This window comes from Homo sapiens, chromosome 3 (assembly GCF_000001405.40).
Source record: "Homo sapiens chromosome 3, GRCh38.p14 Primary Assembly".
Taxonomy (NCBI): Eukaryota; Metazoa; Chordata; class Mammalia; order Primates; family Hominidae; genus Homo; species Homo sapiens.
In genome coordinates, this window is record NC_000003.12 from 134,766,362 (window position 1) to 134,782,813 (window position 16,452).

Consider the following 16,452-nt stretch of genomic DNA (forward strand, 5'->3'; position numbering starts at 1 on the left):
TGGGAACCTTCCTCAGATTCTTAGGAACCTGCTTTACCCCTGGCAGTACTTCCCTGCCTCCTCCAACATGAGCCCTTGCCCAGTGCCTGGGACAGCAGCTCATGGCCAGACCTTTCTGGTGCTGCCTGCCTGTCAACCTGGATCTTTGGTCAGGGCTACCTTGTAGGGACTTGTACTATTCTTGTACTAGGAATGTTCCTATCCACCTGCCTGCCCACTTTCTCCTAGTGGAGGGCTGACAGAAAGAATTGGGCTATGAACATAGGAACTGGAGAAGCACAGCCATGGTGTAAGGAGAGTGAGGCCGGAACAGTCACAAGGTTTGTGCAGTCCACAACAAGGGCAGACAAATCACATGTAAGCGGAGGGTGCTGGTCAGAGGAGAGGGGAGGGCAGATGGAGCAGGCTCCAAGGAAAAGAGGAGCAATGAAGGAGAAACCTGTACTCATTGTTTCTTTGCTCCTGGTAGCCTTTAAGTTTCAGTTTGCCCATGACCTGGCACCCACATTTCACTCCAAGAGCTCTGAACCCCCCTGACCAACCCTGTTTTTAACAACTGGCTTGAGAGGTTCCTGTAGCTCCTCAGTGGGACTCTCTCTGTCACTGGTTGTGTGCTTGGGATTGATTAAATTTGTACAGAGGCTACATAGCCACTTGGATACTCACCCCACCCACACAGACCAGGCTTTGCTCTGAAGGGGGATCTGGTCTGCACTCCAGCCCTCCTACTTGGCTTCATCTTGCTACCTGGTACCCTCTGGGCTGAGCTGTGAAGAGACGCTGGCTGTTGGCCTGTGCACATTGGAGTGATTTGGCCTTTCAAACCAATGCATTAAGAAATGGGCCACTAGGTGCCCAGGTCCAAGGCTGTTGACATAGACAAGCTTTGTGCAATGTGGCTAGCATTTTAATGCAGGTGGTTACCTTCCTCTTTTCCAAAGAAAGAGGCCTCAAATGGAGGCTGAATTACCTTCCCCCTTCAACTAAAAGACTGTTTCAATTGGTTAATATTATAGACATTTACAATCAGGCTGGAGGGTTTTGGGGAAATGGAAAGTAAGTGTTCTGGCCTTCCACGCTCCACACTTTAGCCCAAATCAAGATTCCAGACTAGCAGGTCTCATTTTATGGGCATGTGACCTGGAAAGTCTCATAGAGCTCTGCACTCACAAACATCCTATGCTCTGCCATTTTAAAATTCTGAATAGCTGTTTCGCAAGGAGCCCTGCATTTTCATTTTGCAATGGGCCTTGTAGGTGAAGTAGCAAGTCCTGCAGATGGGGTCCTAGTCTGGCCTTTTCCCGACTCCCACACTGATTATTCCAAGGTAACTTCAGATGCACAAATCTGGGTCTGGTTACTCTGGGTTCTTGCCGAGGGCTTTGTTTTTTGAAAGCAAACATTTTTGAGTATCTGTGCTGTGCCAGGTGCCATGCTCTGTTCAGGGAACTCTTCCTTTAATGGAGGAGATAGGTGCAGAACTGGATTGTCAAAATTCAGGGGCAGCTATTCTAACCTAGCTACAGAGAGAGAAGAGCCTTCCTGAAGAAGAAGACACTGAGTTGAGTGATGGATGATTATTGATCAGTCAAATAAAACTAGGGGAAAGTATTCTAGGCAGAGAGACAGCTAGAGCAAAAAGCTGAGGACGTAGAGTGTCAGAGTGTGCTCTGGGAGCTTCACACACATGAGGAGGACACAGCGTGAGGCCAGGAGTGACCGGAGATGAGGCTAGAGGGACAAATGGGGTCCAGATCACAGGGCTTTTATACACTCAAGGAAAGTGGAATCGGAAGCATCAAATGGGGAGCCACAAAAGGCTCAGAAATAGGCAGGGACATGATCAGATTTGCATATTGGACAGATTCCTCGAGTGGCTGTGTATGGGAATGGACTAAAGGCAGTGAGCCTGGAGGGTATCTGTAACATGTGACTCCATTATTGGGATTATCTTTAGCCAGCCAGCCCCGAATTTTTCAGGAACAAGGACCTCATTTGTCCTGCTGCAGACTTTGCCTACAGATTTGAATTTCCCAATCTCTGTTTTAAAGTTACTGGAGCTCTAATTAAGGCCATGAAAGGCTTTAACTGTGACCAGAGGCATTTTTCCTTCTCTTCCTCTTATGATGCCAGAAGCACTGAGAACCCTTCTACCTTCTCAGTCAGCATTGGCATACCTTCTCAAGTCTGGGCTGGTCCAGGCATGGGAAACACTGGGATTTCAGATGTCCAAGTACCAACTACTTGTATGGCTGACTCTAAAAAGGAGTGTCTTCTCCAAGTGCCTGCTCACTGGAAAGCACTACTAAATAAGCAGGCTGGTGTGGTAGGCAGAAGTCTAAAAATGTCTTTTAACATTCTATCCCCTGGTTATCCAATGAAACACTAATCTAGACACTGCTGTCGAGGGCCTTTGAAGATGCAATTAAGATTGCTAATCATTGGGCTGTAAGATAGGGAGACTATCCAGACTTGGCCGGGTGGGCCCAGTGTAATCACATGAGCTCCTCCATAGCAGAAGAGGGGTCAAAAGAGCTTCAAGCATGAGAAGGCTTTGATATGCTGTTGCTGGTTCTCTCTGGGATCAGAGAGAAGTTTCTAGGAGCTAACAGGAACACTCCAGCTGACATCTAGCAAGGAAACAGGGAACTCAGCCCTATAACCTGAAGGAACCGGTCAGGCCAGGGAGCTTGGACTTAGAGACTCACAAAGTAGAAGCGCTTTGGGTGGCTCTGTGGTGAAAGAAGTGTGATTTTTTTTGTGAGCTCCAAATAGGCAAGAGAACACATTCTTAATTGATTGTATGTCTCAAGAGATGCAGGTACTGAGCCATTCGGTGATTCTGAATATGGTCGGGGACCATCAGGATCAGCATTACCTGGGAATCTGTAAAACAGCAAATTCTTGGGCCCCACCTCAGACCTACTGAATCAGAATGTGTGGTGGAGGCAGAATTGTGTTTAAACAAGGCCCCCCAACCCCAGGTAACTCTGGTGATCATTCCTGTTTGAGGGCCACTGGTGTAATTCTAGCACAGTGAGTCTCAACCTTGGCCACACATTCAGGTCACCTGGGAAGTTCTCATAATAACAGCTGCCTAAGACTGCATGTGAAACCAATTTACTTAAAATTTCTGGGGCGAGGCTTGGATATTTGTAATTTTTAAACAGTTCCACAGGGACTCCAATATCCACTGAAAATTACTGGCCAGGTGCCTTGTACATAATTGAAGTTGATAAATATTTCCTGTCTGGATGGATGGTTAATAATTACTCTGAAAACTCCTTGATGTTAGTGATTGTTCTCTCATTGGAGTAACCCCAAGGCCTAACCCTAAGAGGCCCCAGGAAGCTGTATGCACTGCAGGAGAGACCAGCCTTTTGGAAGATTATAACCTTAGTCCTGGTTGTCATCTTACCTCTAAGCCCTATTCTGATATCTAATCTGGCCTACTTATGCTTACCTCGAAAGGGCAGAAATGACATACAGGTGTATATCAAGGGCCTATGGCTATTTATCGTCCCTCTCATATCATGTGCTAGGCCTAAGGGCAAGGAAGGTAAATAGGCTAATTTCTGAGACTGGGAGATCTCTATCAGGCCAGCTCCTGTATCATGCCCAGAGCTTTCTCCCTGTCATTGCATTGGTGTGCAGCACTGGCACATCACGTCTACTTTTCTTCTCTTGGGATGCTTCCTCCATTAAGCTAAGCTGCCAGCAAGGGCGTGGTGGTCTTTGTCTTTGTGGTCCAAATGGCCAGGCTTCTCCAGAGGGTGGAAAACAGAGGCCCAGATTATGGTTCTGAGATCTGGCTGCCCACTGAAATCTCTTGGGAAGAGGGTAACAATTCCTACTACTGTTTCCCATCCAGACTCTAATTCAGGACATTCAATAGCAGAACTCTCAAATCTATGTTTTTAATAGAACCCCCAGGTGATTCTGAGGTAGCCAGTCCATGAGAGTCTGTGGATCACTGAATCCTAGCATACTTTTTCTAGTTATGCTTTTTCTAGGAAAAGAAGTCTTGAGGTTGTTAAGCTATCATTAGCATAAGGATTGCACAAATAATTTAGAGTAAAAATTAAAGAAATGTAAACACTTTGGAACAGTTACAATTCTATTTCTGTTTTTTTCCCCACTCACTTGATTCTATTCTCAGGATTTGGTGGTGTTTCTTATATGAATCTCTGATTTCACAATTTAACTTGTTTCTCCTTGTGATTTTGAAACATTAAGCTAGTTTAAGCTAGTTTGTTGTCAAATACCATTCAAAATGCTTTTACTTTTTTTTATTCCCTAGCCACAATCATCGCTTACCTGTGTTGTAGTTGATGAGGGGTGAGATAACTTGATCTCCCTACTCACAGTATCTTTGCATTCCCCCTCTGAGATTCCACCTTCTTCTTGTCAAGTGGCAAAGGAAAAATATAAATGGATAAGTAATAGTATCATCAGGCCCACTCCTGAGTTCTCCTCTTGCGTCTGTTTTGCCTTAATCACTAGTGCATATGCTGACTAGCTTCAAAGTCTTTCAAAGTTACAGCTTGTGTTGATGCTAATTTGGAAAACAATGATAAGATTTATACAACAAATACTTTTCTCCTGATTCCCTTAGCAACCGTCTCCAAATTTGACAGGAAATTTCAATCCATGTTGTCAGGAAGGTAACCTTAAGAATACATTTGAACGAAGTCAAGGAGGGTAATTGACATCCTTACTTCCATTCTGGGGTGCTGAGATCTTCCCTCACTGGAATAAGGTTCTCAGTGCAGGGCAACTCAGACTCCTGCTTTCTCTCCATCCACTTTGCTGGCTTCCTGAATACAGTGAAGAGAGTCTTTTCTGTCCTTTCTCTAGGCTGAGTGGGGGTAGAAGGACTGAAAGGACTAGCAAAAACCATGGAATACTATGCAGCCATAAAAAAGGATGAGTTCATATTCTTTGCAGGGACATGGATGAAGCTAGAAACCATCATTCTCAGCAAACTAACACAAGAACAGAAAACCAAAGACTACATGTTCTCACTCATAAGTGGCAGTTGAACAATGAGAACACATGGACACTTGGAGGAGCATCAGAACCACCTGGAGGATTTATTAAAACCTGATAGCTAGGCCCCACCCCCAAAGTTTCTGATACAGCAGGTCAGGGTGGGGCCTGATAATTTGCATTCCTAAGAGGTTCCCAGATGATGTCGATGTTGCTGTTTCAAGAATCATACTTTGAGAATGACCAGGATAGTGTATGTATAAGGTATTCATACACTGGGTCCTGTCAGTGGGTGGTGGGATAGGGGAGGGATAGCATTAGGAGAAATTCCTAATATAGATGGGTTGATGGGTGCAGCAAACCACCACGGCACGTGTATACCTATGTAACAAACCCACACCTGCACGTTGTGCATGTGTATCTCAGAACTTAAAGTATATTTTTTTTAAAAAAGGAAAAAGCACCCACACAATAAAACAAAATGTAAAATAAAAAAAAGAAGTCCATGCCCATCTTCATTCTCAGAAGGTACTAACTAGATCATAATTTTCTAACTGCTGTCCACTGACCCTTGAGAAATAACCAGATTATTCTTAAGAGATATTCTTAAAGCCATATATGTATTCTGTATCCCCGGCTTGGGGTAAAAATTGCCATGGATGAGGGGTTAGTTACAAACAAGCAGGTAAGATCAAGTTGCACACATCTTCATGCTGGAAACTAGATCCTGCTGCCCAGAGTGGGTGGGATTAAAGCAGACACAGGCAGGCTGAGCAGCAGCAACCCAGCCAGGCCTGTCTGAAATGTCAGTCTTGGCTGCCCCATTGCCCTCTCCCTTGGAGGCACCATGGGCATTATCTTCTTTTCATGCCAGGAGAGGAGGTGGATGGGAGAAACCTGACCCTTTAATGCCAGACACCCCGTGCAGCTGTGCAGGGCTGGATTCTCTTGCTAGACTTGGCTGGCCTCCCTCTCTGTTCAAGGCAGCATTAAGAAGATTGATTTCTGTTAGCCGGCCATAATGGGAGACTATAATGGCTGCGAGGGAGACACTTGGCTTGTGGACACCTTGTACAGGTGCCAGTCACTTTGGGGGTGAGCCAGGCAAGGCTTCTTGCTTTTTGGTTTGATCTTCTCACCTCCCCTCCCCTCTTCCCCTCCCCTCTTCTCCTCCATTTTCTCTTCCCTTTCTCCTCTTCATTATCTCCCTCTTGGTCTAGAAATGCTCCATGTATCTAGGACTCAGACCCCTGTGGCTTTGGATCCAGTGTGCTCTCTCATTAGATATTCCCATTTGTCTCTGCCAACTGCACATGTGGGAGGAGCCTCTGCCACACCCCAGAGTAGGGGCCTCCCCACACATTCCCAGTGACATTCCAAGATGGCCTTCAGGCTTGCAGGACAAGCCTGCAAGCTTTTCCTTATGGAGTTTGACTGCTCCCAAGAGGAAGCAGAGAGCTTGGCTGCCACAGGAGCTGAAGGCGGGTTCCCAGGAGCTCAACTTGACTGTGATTCAGTTTATGCCACTTGCAGACCTTTGGGGCAAGGAGAAGGGAATTTGGCTTCTGGTAGGTTGGGAGAGCTATTTGGGCTGGTGTTACCAAGGCACTGTGGTCAGTTAACCCTTCCTGGGAGGGGTTCTACAAATTCCGAAGCATGGGAACCCATGACTTCTTCTGTCACAGGCCCCCTGATCTGCCAAGGGTGCCTGCAGCATTATTTGCTAGTCCCAGCCTCCCATCAGCTGCCCTGTGCTTGTAGAGGCAGCAGGGCAGAGATCACAGGCTGGCCAGGTGGAGAATAATGGCATCTCCTTCCTGGTTCTCCTCCCCCATCCAAGGCTGCAAGATCCTGCTTCTATTTGCTGCCACCAGCACTCATGGGTGAGACCAAGGCCTCAAAAAGATGGGAGGCTTACCCTCAGTTATGGGTGGGCACTATCTTGGACTTCCTTCTTGGAGGAGCCAGAGCCAGACTCTTTAGGAGCAGGCAGAGCCGTCTATTATAGCATGGCTGAGAAGGACCTTTGGAGGCCACTCAAGCTATCCACTTAGCACAGGCAAAATGGCACGCATAGAAATGAAGTCTATTTTGAGCATTAAGTTCCAGACACAGCTATTCCTAGAGGGAAGGAGTGAGGAAAAATTCAAGTGCACCCTGCTATGTTACCTCTGACCCAGCTTATCTCTCACAGCAAACCATTTCCATGAACATCATTCTTAAATCACAACTCAGAATAAAGAGGACACAGAAATGACCACTGCCATTTCTCCAACCTCATGTCTTACATTTTCAGCAATTTGCTCTTCTAGTAAGCTAGACTTCAGCCCCACAGCCCACCCCCCCACCTTCTCTGACATTTCTGTTTACATCCCCTGATTAAATGTTGCCTCCTCAGTGATGCCATCCCAAATGGCTCTGGATGAAGGTGCATCCCTCATTCCTCCAACAGTCATCCTTCCTGTCACCAGGTGTTTTTGTTTCTTCTACATAGCCTTACTGGAATCATCTGAAATGATCTTACTCATTGTATTTCTGTGCTTGTTTTTATGGGGAGGGTCTGTCTCTCTCAGTAGAGTTTAACATTCCTGAGAACAGGGACCTTGGCTGTCTTGCATGTCACCATTTTCCCAGTGTCCAGCAGGCAACAGGGACTCAGTAGATATATGCTGAATACAATTGAGTAACAGCAATAACAGCTTTGCCTTACTGATGCAGAGGCTTTCCTGGGGGTGGAAAGCACATCCCTCTGGGGCCAGAGAGAAGGAAAGGGGGTCCCATTGACATGCTCTGGGGCATTATTTCTTAACTGACTCTTTGTCCCCTATGTGGCTGATGTGGCTCCCCTCCTCACCTTCTTCTTATTTCCTCCCACAGGGTCTCTCTGGGTGATGCTGATATCTGCATTCATGCTCCTCTACTATGCTCAGTCACACAGCCAAGAAACAATACAATAAACACTTTACTCTCCAACTTAGCACACAAACTTAATTCTTAACTCAAGGCAATACAATGGCATACCATGATACTAATGTAACAAAGAGTAAAATTGCCTTATTGATCCACAAGTACCTTCTAAGGAGAATCCTGTAAAATGAAAGACCCTTTTGTTCCACTGAATGCCTTGATGGACTCTTGTCCACATGGGAAGCCTGGAGATGAGGCAGCCAGACAGGGTTCCCCAGGTGGGACAGCTGAAAGACTTTTAGGAATAGAAACGTGCAATGTTATCTTTGAAGATATATGTATCTCAGCAAAGTAAATATCTCAATCACCTGAGCCCTAGGTGAAGCCAACTTATATATAAATGCTGTGTGAGAGAGTGTGTGTGTGAACAGAGCGGGGTTCAAGCCCATTTGGGTCAGTATGGCATCGAATAGAGATGTTTTAGAGGTCCATGCATTGAACTCATTAAACAGACAGAAATTTGGGGCTAGAATTGAGAATTCATATACCCTGCCCATATTACCTCCCCTCTTCAGTCTCAGTTATCTGACTTCCAACTGCCAGCTTTGGAGCCCAAGGGCTTTCTCTGAAACCTAGGAGGGCTTCCCTGTCCACCTTGGGCAGGCTGGAGTGCTGCGGGGTTGATGTAGTCTGGCAGCTTTTGACCAATGTCTGGTGAGAACTGGTGTATAAATACCCCAGCCCATTGGATGGGATAATTCAGAGGTCTGTGTTCTACATCGGCCTCCAGTTTTGCCACAGGATTAATTTCCAGTCACCTCCGGTGGTGACTGTCTTAATAACATACCTTTATTGTCTTCTTCCTTATCTCACTTCCCCACTCACCTACCTATGTTTCCCTCACCTCCTGTCACAGCGAGGTCCCTATAAGCAGAGCCTGAGACAAGGGTCTCGTTCACGTGATTTAGTGGAATAGTGTCCTCAGGGAAGAGGAGACAGGGCTGTAAGATGGGGCAGGGAAAGGAGCTGAACAAGGATGCAGTCCTGGCTGGAGCCTCGCTTCAGCCCAATCCCCTGAGGGAACTTCCAGAGCACAGATTGTAACAAAGAGTTAGTGTCCCCTTCAGGTAAGGGGGCCAGCCTTTGGAATCCCTACTTCAGTTAGACATTTTCTGAGGCTTTCCCTGAAGTGGTATGGTAGCATATAATCTCCAAGCTGAGGCAGTGCCCATTTGGCCAAAGGCAATTCTCCAGAACAGAGGTCAACTGTGAAGTGTTGGCGGCCAATACTCACAGCTGGAGGATGGATATACCTTCCAGTATAGGGGATCCCAGGGAGCCCCAGAGAGTCCAATACGCCCCCTACTAAACTTGCACCCTAATCTCTGTCTCAGGGTCTGATTCTGGGGTAGAGAATGGGAGACATGTTTATCCAGATATTCAGGAGAAGGGAAACCTCAGATTTCTTGACATTATATTCAAGTTCCTATTTGTCCATCCGATTGCAGGGGTTATTTTGGACCATTAGGGGAGTTATCTAGACAGTGACGCTTCTCTCTCCATCATTCATTTGATGTGGAATGGTGCCTCTTCTTTTCAGCCGTCTCATTCTCACTGTCAATCAGCTGTGGATGTGGGGCTTCCCGCTTTCTTTCTGCAGGCACCCCTCCCGGTCTCTGCATCAGGTCTACACACTGAACACTAAAAGCTGAAATGACAAAAATTGCCAGGTATTACCAATATAGCCAGTTGCTTTCTCAGAAAGCCACCTCCCCACCCGGTAGTCTGTGGGAAGAAATATCTGTGGTGTTGTAGGACTGTGTCTCTGACTTACATTTTCTTCCTGTAGCCTAGGCCCTCTGGGATACCATGCACCGCAACCCATCTCTATGGGGCCTTGACATCCACCTAATTTTTGCCAGTCCCTGGCCCCAGAGAGCCAAATTCTGTGTCCAGCAGTTCCAGTCAGCAGCTGGTTCTGGGGAAGTTCTGCTCAATAGAAATATAATGCAAGCCACATATTTTCTAGTAACCACATTAAAAAGGTAAGACAAACAAGTGAAATTCATTTTAATATTATTTAACTCAATGTATTAAAAATCACCATTTCAACATGTCAATATGAAAATTATCAACAAGATACTTAATTTTTTTTTCATATTAAGTCCTTGGGATCTGGTGTATATTACACTGATAGTACATTTCAATTTGGACCCGCTACATATCAAGTGCCTAATAGGCACATGGGGCTAATGGCTGCTGCATTGTGTGTGTGAACAGAGAGGGGTTCTAGTCTCTGGTAGTAATTTTGCTTTGTTGACATGGCCTACCCACAGGGTCTAGGCTGGACTAGAAATCATGTGAAGCCAGGAGTACACGCTCTTCTTGGTTTGGGGCAGCTGGCTGAGCCTGAAGTCATGATGAGGCTGAGGTGTAGTGATGGGTAGGGGTGCTGGAGGCCTGGAGGTCCTGTCCAATGGGTATTCTCCAGAGTTGGAGGTCATGGGAGCCAGGCAGTTTCTGATGCTGGTGGCAGTCAAGAGGTGGTGAAGATATGACACTTACTTGAGGTGCTAGAGGAACTTTCAGACCAGTGTTTTTAACACTTTTGAAACCATCCCAAGATACTAGCAGGGGTTGGGAGAGATGGACAAACTGTTAGGCTGAGGCTGGTGCTTTTTGGGGATCCAGGACTGCCTCATTCATGTGAGGCCAGATTAAAGCAAATATTGCTGTTCTGTGGCTTGTCTATTAAACATTAGGAAAGCCAACCATTCTTAATTCTAATTTTTTAAAAGGAAGATTTCAAAAGGAAAGAAGTGACAAACACACATTTAACCAGCATGCTTTCTATTGCATTATTGAGTCCTCAGTGAAGGTGTTAAAAAAGGCACATGTTTTGTATTGACCTCTTTGAAAAGCACTTCTGGATTTTACCATTAATAAAGGCCCCTTTGGTTCTCACTCTCCAATTAGTTGTGTGATCACCTAACAGTGTTTTGATCTGGACTATATTTCTTGTTTTAATAATTAGTATTTCATACTTTAGACTCTTTGTGAAAAGCAGGATAAATTGGCCTTATTTCTTCTCCTTGATCAGCCACACATAGTGCTCCATAAAGAAAATGATCTTTTTTTTCACTCTCAAATGCCTATTACCTGACTTTTGAGCAAAATATATACTCACCTCATTTTTCAGAGGGGTCTTCATCAATTACTGGACTTGTCTAATTAACTCACTTAAAATAATTTAAAACTCGAGAATTTGCTCAATAACAATACATGGAAATGGTGAGTATTGTGGTTTCTAACTTTCACTTTCGGTAGACTTCAACCTTTGAAAGAATAGAATTTTTTTTTTTTTTTTTTTTTTTTTTTTTAGATGGAGTTTTGCTCTGTTGCTCAGGCTGGAGTGCAGTGGTCTTGGCTCGCTGCAACCTCCGCCTCTCAGGTTCAAGCAATTCTCCTGCCTCAGCCTCTCGAGTAGCTGGGATTACAGGTACACGCCACTATGCCGGGCTATTTTTTGAATTTTTTTAGTAGAGATGGGGGTTTCACCATGCTGGCCAGGCTGGTCTCGAACTCTTGACCTTGTGATCTGCCCACCTCGGTCTCCCAAAGTGCTGGGATTACAGATGTGAGCCACCGCGCCCGGCTTTAGGCTTTTAAAAACAACAAATTATTTTTCTGGAGGAAATTCAGAATAAATAACACACACACACACACCAACCACTATAGGAACTATTACACAGTCTTCTCTCATTTGTTCTGCAAGTTGCCTTTTCACAGAATGCTGTATTGAAGATCCACTTATGTTAAGCACAAATAGTTCCACGTCACTTTTTTTTTTTTTTTTTGAGACGGAGTTTCCCTCTTGTCATCCAGGCTGGAGTGCAGTGATGTGATCTCAGCTCACTGCAACCTCTGTCTCCTGGGTTCAAGCAATTCCCCTGCCTCAGCTTCCCAAGTAGCTAGGATTACAGACGTGCACCACCACACCCCACTATTTTTGTATTTTTAGTAGAGACGGGGTTTCACCATGTTGGCCAGGCTGGTCTCCAACTCCTGACCTCAGGTGATCTGCCCACCTCGCCCTCCCAAAGTGCTTGAATTATAGGCATCAGCCACCACACCTGGCCCACATCACTCTTTTTGACTGTTTCATGATATTTGATAGTATGGCTGAATCATAGTTTAGTCATTGCCTTAATGACAATGACTAAAGTTTAGTTAGTCAATGGCTTAAGTAGCATCTAGGTTATTCTCAATGTTTTTGCTGTTTTGTTTGTTTGTTTGTTTGTTTTCTGTTTTGTTTTTTTGAGACAGAGTCTCGCTCTGTCACCCAGGCTGGAGTGCAGTGGCGCAATCTCTGCTCACTGCAAGCTCTGCCTCCCGGGTTCACGCCATTCTCCTGCCTCAGCCTCCCAAGTAGCTGGGCCTACAGGTGCCCACCACCATGCCCGGCTAATTTTTTTGTATTTTTTAGTAGAGACAGGGTTTCACCATGTTAGCCAGGATGGTCTTGATCTCCTAACCTCGTGATTCGCCTGCCTTGGCCTCCCAAAGTGCTGGGATTACAGGCGTGAGCCACCGCGCGGCCATTTTTGCTGTTTTAAGATTTGCTAGACTGAACACCTTTGCACACTGTCTTCTTATGTGGCTCCATGGTTGTTACTCTAAGTTGGTGCTGAGCAGCGAAATTGTAATTTATAGAAGTGCCCAGTTTAAGCTTTTGAAGATAACTTCCAAAATGCCCTATACAGTAAAAATTTATTCTACTACAATTCATACTTTTGCTATCCATATCTTTGTCTACATTTAATATTAGTGAACATTTGCTTTTACCAGCCTGTTGTGTGAAAAATTTTATCTATTTTATGCTGGTAATGTAATTTTTCTATGGTAAATATATGCAAAATAATAAATATAGTGTACATATATATGAATACACAATTCAAATATTAATAATAAAACAGGCACCCAAGTCCCTACTGCTCAGCTGAATATTGTCTTAGAAGTATCTCATGTGATACTTTCCAATTGTGCAGCAATAATTCACTCATTTTTGCTCCTGTATAAGAATACACCATGATTTATTTTTCTATTTTACAATGATGGGCATTTGGTTTATTTCCTGTTTTTTCCTATTATGGATTGTGAGCCTATAAGCTTTCTTATGTCTGTCTCCTGGCATACATGTGCAAGGGCATTGCTAAGGTATTCCCAGCCGTGAAATTGCTGAGTTCTAGGTATAGTGGAGAGTGACAAAATGAATTTTATCCACCCAAAATCATTTTCCCCATCTTACACATGGATGTTCATCTAGACTGCATTTCCCAGCCTCCCTTTTAGTTGGATATGGCTATGTGACTAAGTCCTCACTAGTGGAATTTAAGCAGCTTTCTATTCTGCTATGTCAGGATCAGAGCCTTAAGGTGGTGGGTGTACCTCCTCCATGTGTTCTTCTCTTTTCCCACCAGACAAAACCAAAATGTGGTGGTGAGCCAACTTCAATTTTGCAGAAACTGACTTGGAAAGAACTGATTACCTGAAGGACCGTGAGGATCAAAGTTGTCCCACTGACCAGGCTGTAAACTTTGGAACTGATAAGTGAGAGAGATAAGGTAAACTTCTTTACCTTTAAGCCATTTATTGTTAGTATCTTTATTATGTCAGCCTGTACTTACTCTAATTAATACATAAAGAAGCACATGTTAAACTTCACTGAGTGATGCCATACTCCTATCCAAAACCTTTGAAGCAATTTACACTCCTACCGGCATTTTATGACAGCTCTTGTTGCTCTGTATTCTACGAACCCTAGCTATTGTCTGACTTTATTATGTTTACCTATCAGTGGGTGAGAAGCATTATCTCAGTATTGTTTTCATTATCAAATGAGGTTGTACATTTTTTCAGATATTGTTAGCTTATTCATAGTTACTTGTATCTGAAATGTCTGTTTGAATCTTTTGCCCCCTTTTTAACACTGGATGCTTTTTTGTAGTCGAAATATATAATATAAAATTTTCATTTCAGCCATTTTAACTGTATAATTCACAATGCTATGCAATCATCACCAGTATTTATTTCCAAAGCCCTTTTATCATTCCAAACAGAAACTCTGTACTCATTAAGCAATAACTCCCGATTCCTCTTCCCCCATCCCCTGGTAACCACTAATCTATTTGCTATCTCTGTGCATTCACCTACTCTAGATATTTCATGTAAGTGGAGACATACAGCCTTTGTCCTTTTGTATGTGGTATAAAAATATGGAGTGCTTCACAAATTTGCATGTTACCTTTGCAGAGGAGCCGTGCTAATCTGTATCATTCCAATTTTAGTAATGTGCTATCAACGCGAGCACTTGGGTGCTTTTGACACATTTATTTCATATTGATTTATAGAAATTCTTTATATATTCTAGATACTAATACTTTTTAAATTAAGTTGCAGATAGTTTCTCTCAGTGTATGGCTTAACTATGTTTATGGTGTCTTTTTACATCAAAGTTTTCATTTTATTAATCAAGTGTATCTGTATTTTCCTTTGTAGTTTGTGCTTTTTGTGTCCTGTTTATGACATTCTCCTCCTTACAGCCCACTGCATTTAGCTATTCTCCTATGTTATATTTAAAAATATTATGAAGTCTTCCTTTTAATATTGGTTTTCAGTCCACCTGGAATTGATATTTGTGTGAGAAAGGAATCAAATTTTATTTTTCAGATTGTCTTGGCAACGCTTATTGAATAGTTTATTCTTTCTCACCATTTTGTAATACTTCCCTTGACATGGAGTTTTCATATATACATTGATCCTAAATCTCTATATCAATTCCATATTGTTTTAATTATGGTAGCTTTATAATAAGTTTTGATAGCTGATAAGGCAAAGCCTTCCATTCTGTTTGTCTTCAAAATTGTCTTCGTTATTCTTGCCTCTGCTTTTGAACTTCAGGGTCAAATTGTCAAATTCTTCAAAAAAATTATAGATTTTTTTTGTATTTGTATTGCATCTATAGGAAAAATTGGGGATAATAGCCATGAGATTTCTCACCCATAAACACAGTATATCTCTCCAGTTATTTAAATGTTGTTTAATAAATTTTTATTTTTTCATAAGGCCTTTACAAACTTTCTTAAGATTTGTTCCAAGATATATTAGAGTTTTTATTGCCATTAAAATGCTGTATTATTCATGTGGACACAAAGGTGGGAACAACAGACACTGGGGACGGCTTCAGTGAGGAAGGCGGGAGAGGGTGGTGGGCTGCAAGCCTACCCATCAGGGTACTACGCTCACTACCTGGGTGATGGATCATTTGTACACCAAGCCTCATTTACCCACGTAACAAACCTGTACATGTACTCCTGGAACCTAAAGTAAAAGTAGTAGGAGAAAAAATGCTGCATTGTTAAAAAATTACTTATTCTTATTTGTTGCTGATGTTTAAGAAAGCAACAGATTTTTATATATTGACTTTGTAACTAGCAAACTTGCTCATGATTTTTGTTTGGTCTAATGATTTCCCTGTACAGTCTCTTGGGTTTTCTACAAAATCTTGCTGTCTGTGGCCTAATGTAGCTTTCTTTCTTTCTGTCCTCTCCTTATATTTTTCATCTCTCTTTTATGTCTTACAGCGCTAGCTCAAACCAGCAGTGAAATGCTGACTGGAAACAAGGAGAGTAGGCATCCTTTCTTCTTCCCCACTTTAAAGAGAATGCGTCCGATGTTTTGCCATGAAATGTAATGTTTTCTCTGGGGTTTGGATAGAAACCATGTCTCAAGTCCCTTTCTATTATTTTATTAAATATTTTTAAGTTGTGAAAATGTTCTGAGTTTTAATCAAATATTCTGTCTGTGCCTATTGAGATGATCATATATATGTTTTGTCCTTTAATCAGTAAATGGGACAATAGATTTCTCTAAAATTAGACAACTTTTTCAATCCTGGGACAAGGATTATGTCAGCTTCCTAACATCATTCAGGAAATACATCCTTGAGTGTTTGGATTAGAACCCACTAACAAAACCGTTTAGACTTAATGTTGTTTCTTTTTTTGGTGGGTAGATTTTTAATTACTGATTCAAATTCTTTTGTGAAAATCAGTCTACTCAAATATTCTATTTTTTATTGTGAATCAGGTTTGATATATTGTATTTTGTTCTCAAGAAAAATTGCTATTTCATTCAAATGGTTCACAGTATTTTCTACTGTTTTAAAGTTTTACTCTATCCGTATGCCCTCTTTTCCATCCATAACATTATTTAATTTTGTTTTGTCCCATTATACACTCCACCCCACCTCTTGCAAACTAGCACAGTCTTGGCAGAAGTTTTTTTGTATTTTATTAGTTTATTTTTTTCAGTGAGTAAGCTTTGAGATGTGGGAGCCTTGTTGATAATTTCTTTATTTTTCATTTCTGTGTTTACATATTTATCTTATCAATTTTCTTCTATTCTAATATTCTTTCTAATGTTCCAAGGTAAGGTATAAATTTCCTGTAGATACCACTTTAGCTGCATGCCAAGGTTTTGAATGGTAGTGTTATA

General features: G+C 42.8%; 1 protein-coding gene and 1 pseudogene across 1 annotated transcript in view; one reads left to right on the plus strand and one right to left on the minus strand.

Moving 5' to 3' along the window:
- CEP63 (centrosomal protein 63) overlaps positions 1-16,198 on the plus strand; it is a 296,836-nt gene extending 280,638 nt beyond the window's left edge. Inside the window, exon 14 of the transcript XR_007095731.1 lies at positions 13,377-16,198. The gene's annotated coding sequence lies outside the window, so the exon portion shown is untranslated. The remainder of the gene's footprint in view (positions 1-13,376) is intronic.
- On the minus strand, positions 14,166-14,266 carry RNU6-1174P (RNA, U6 small nuclear 1174, pseudogene; annotated as a pseudogene).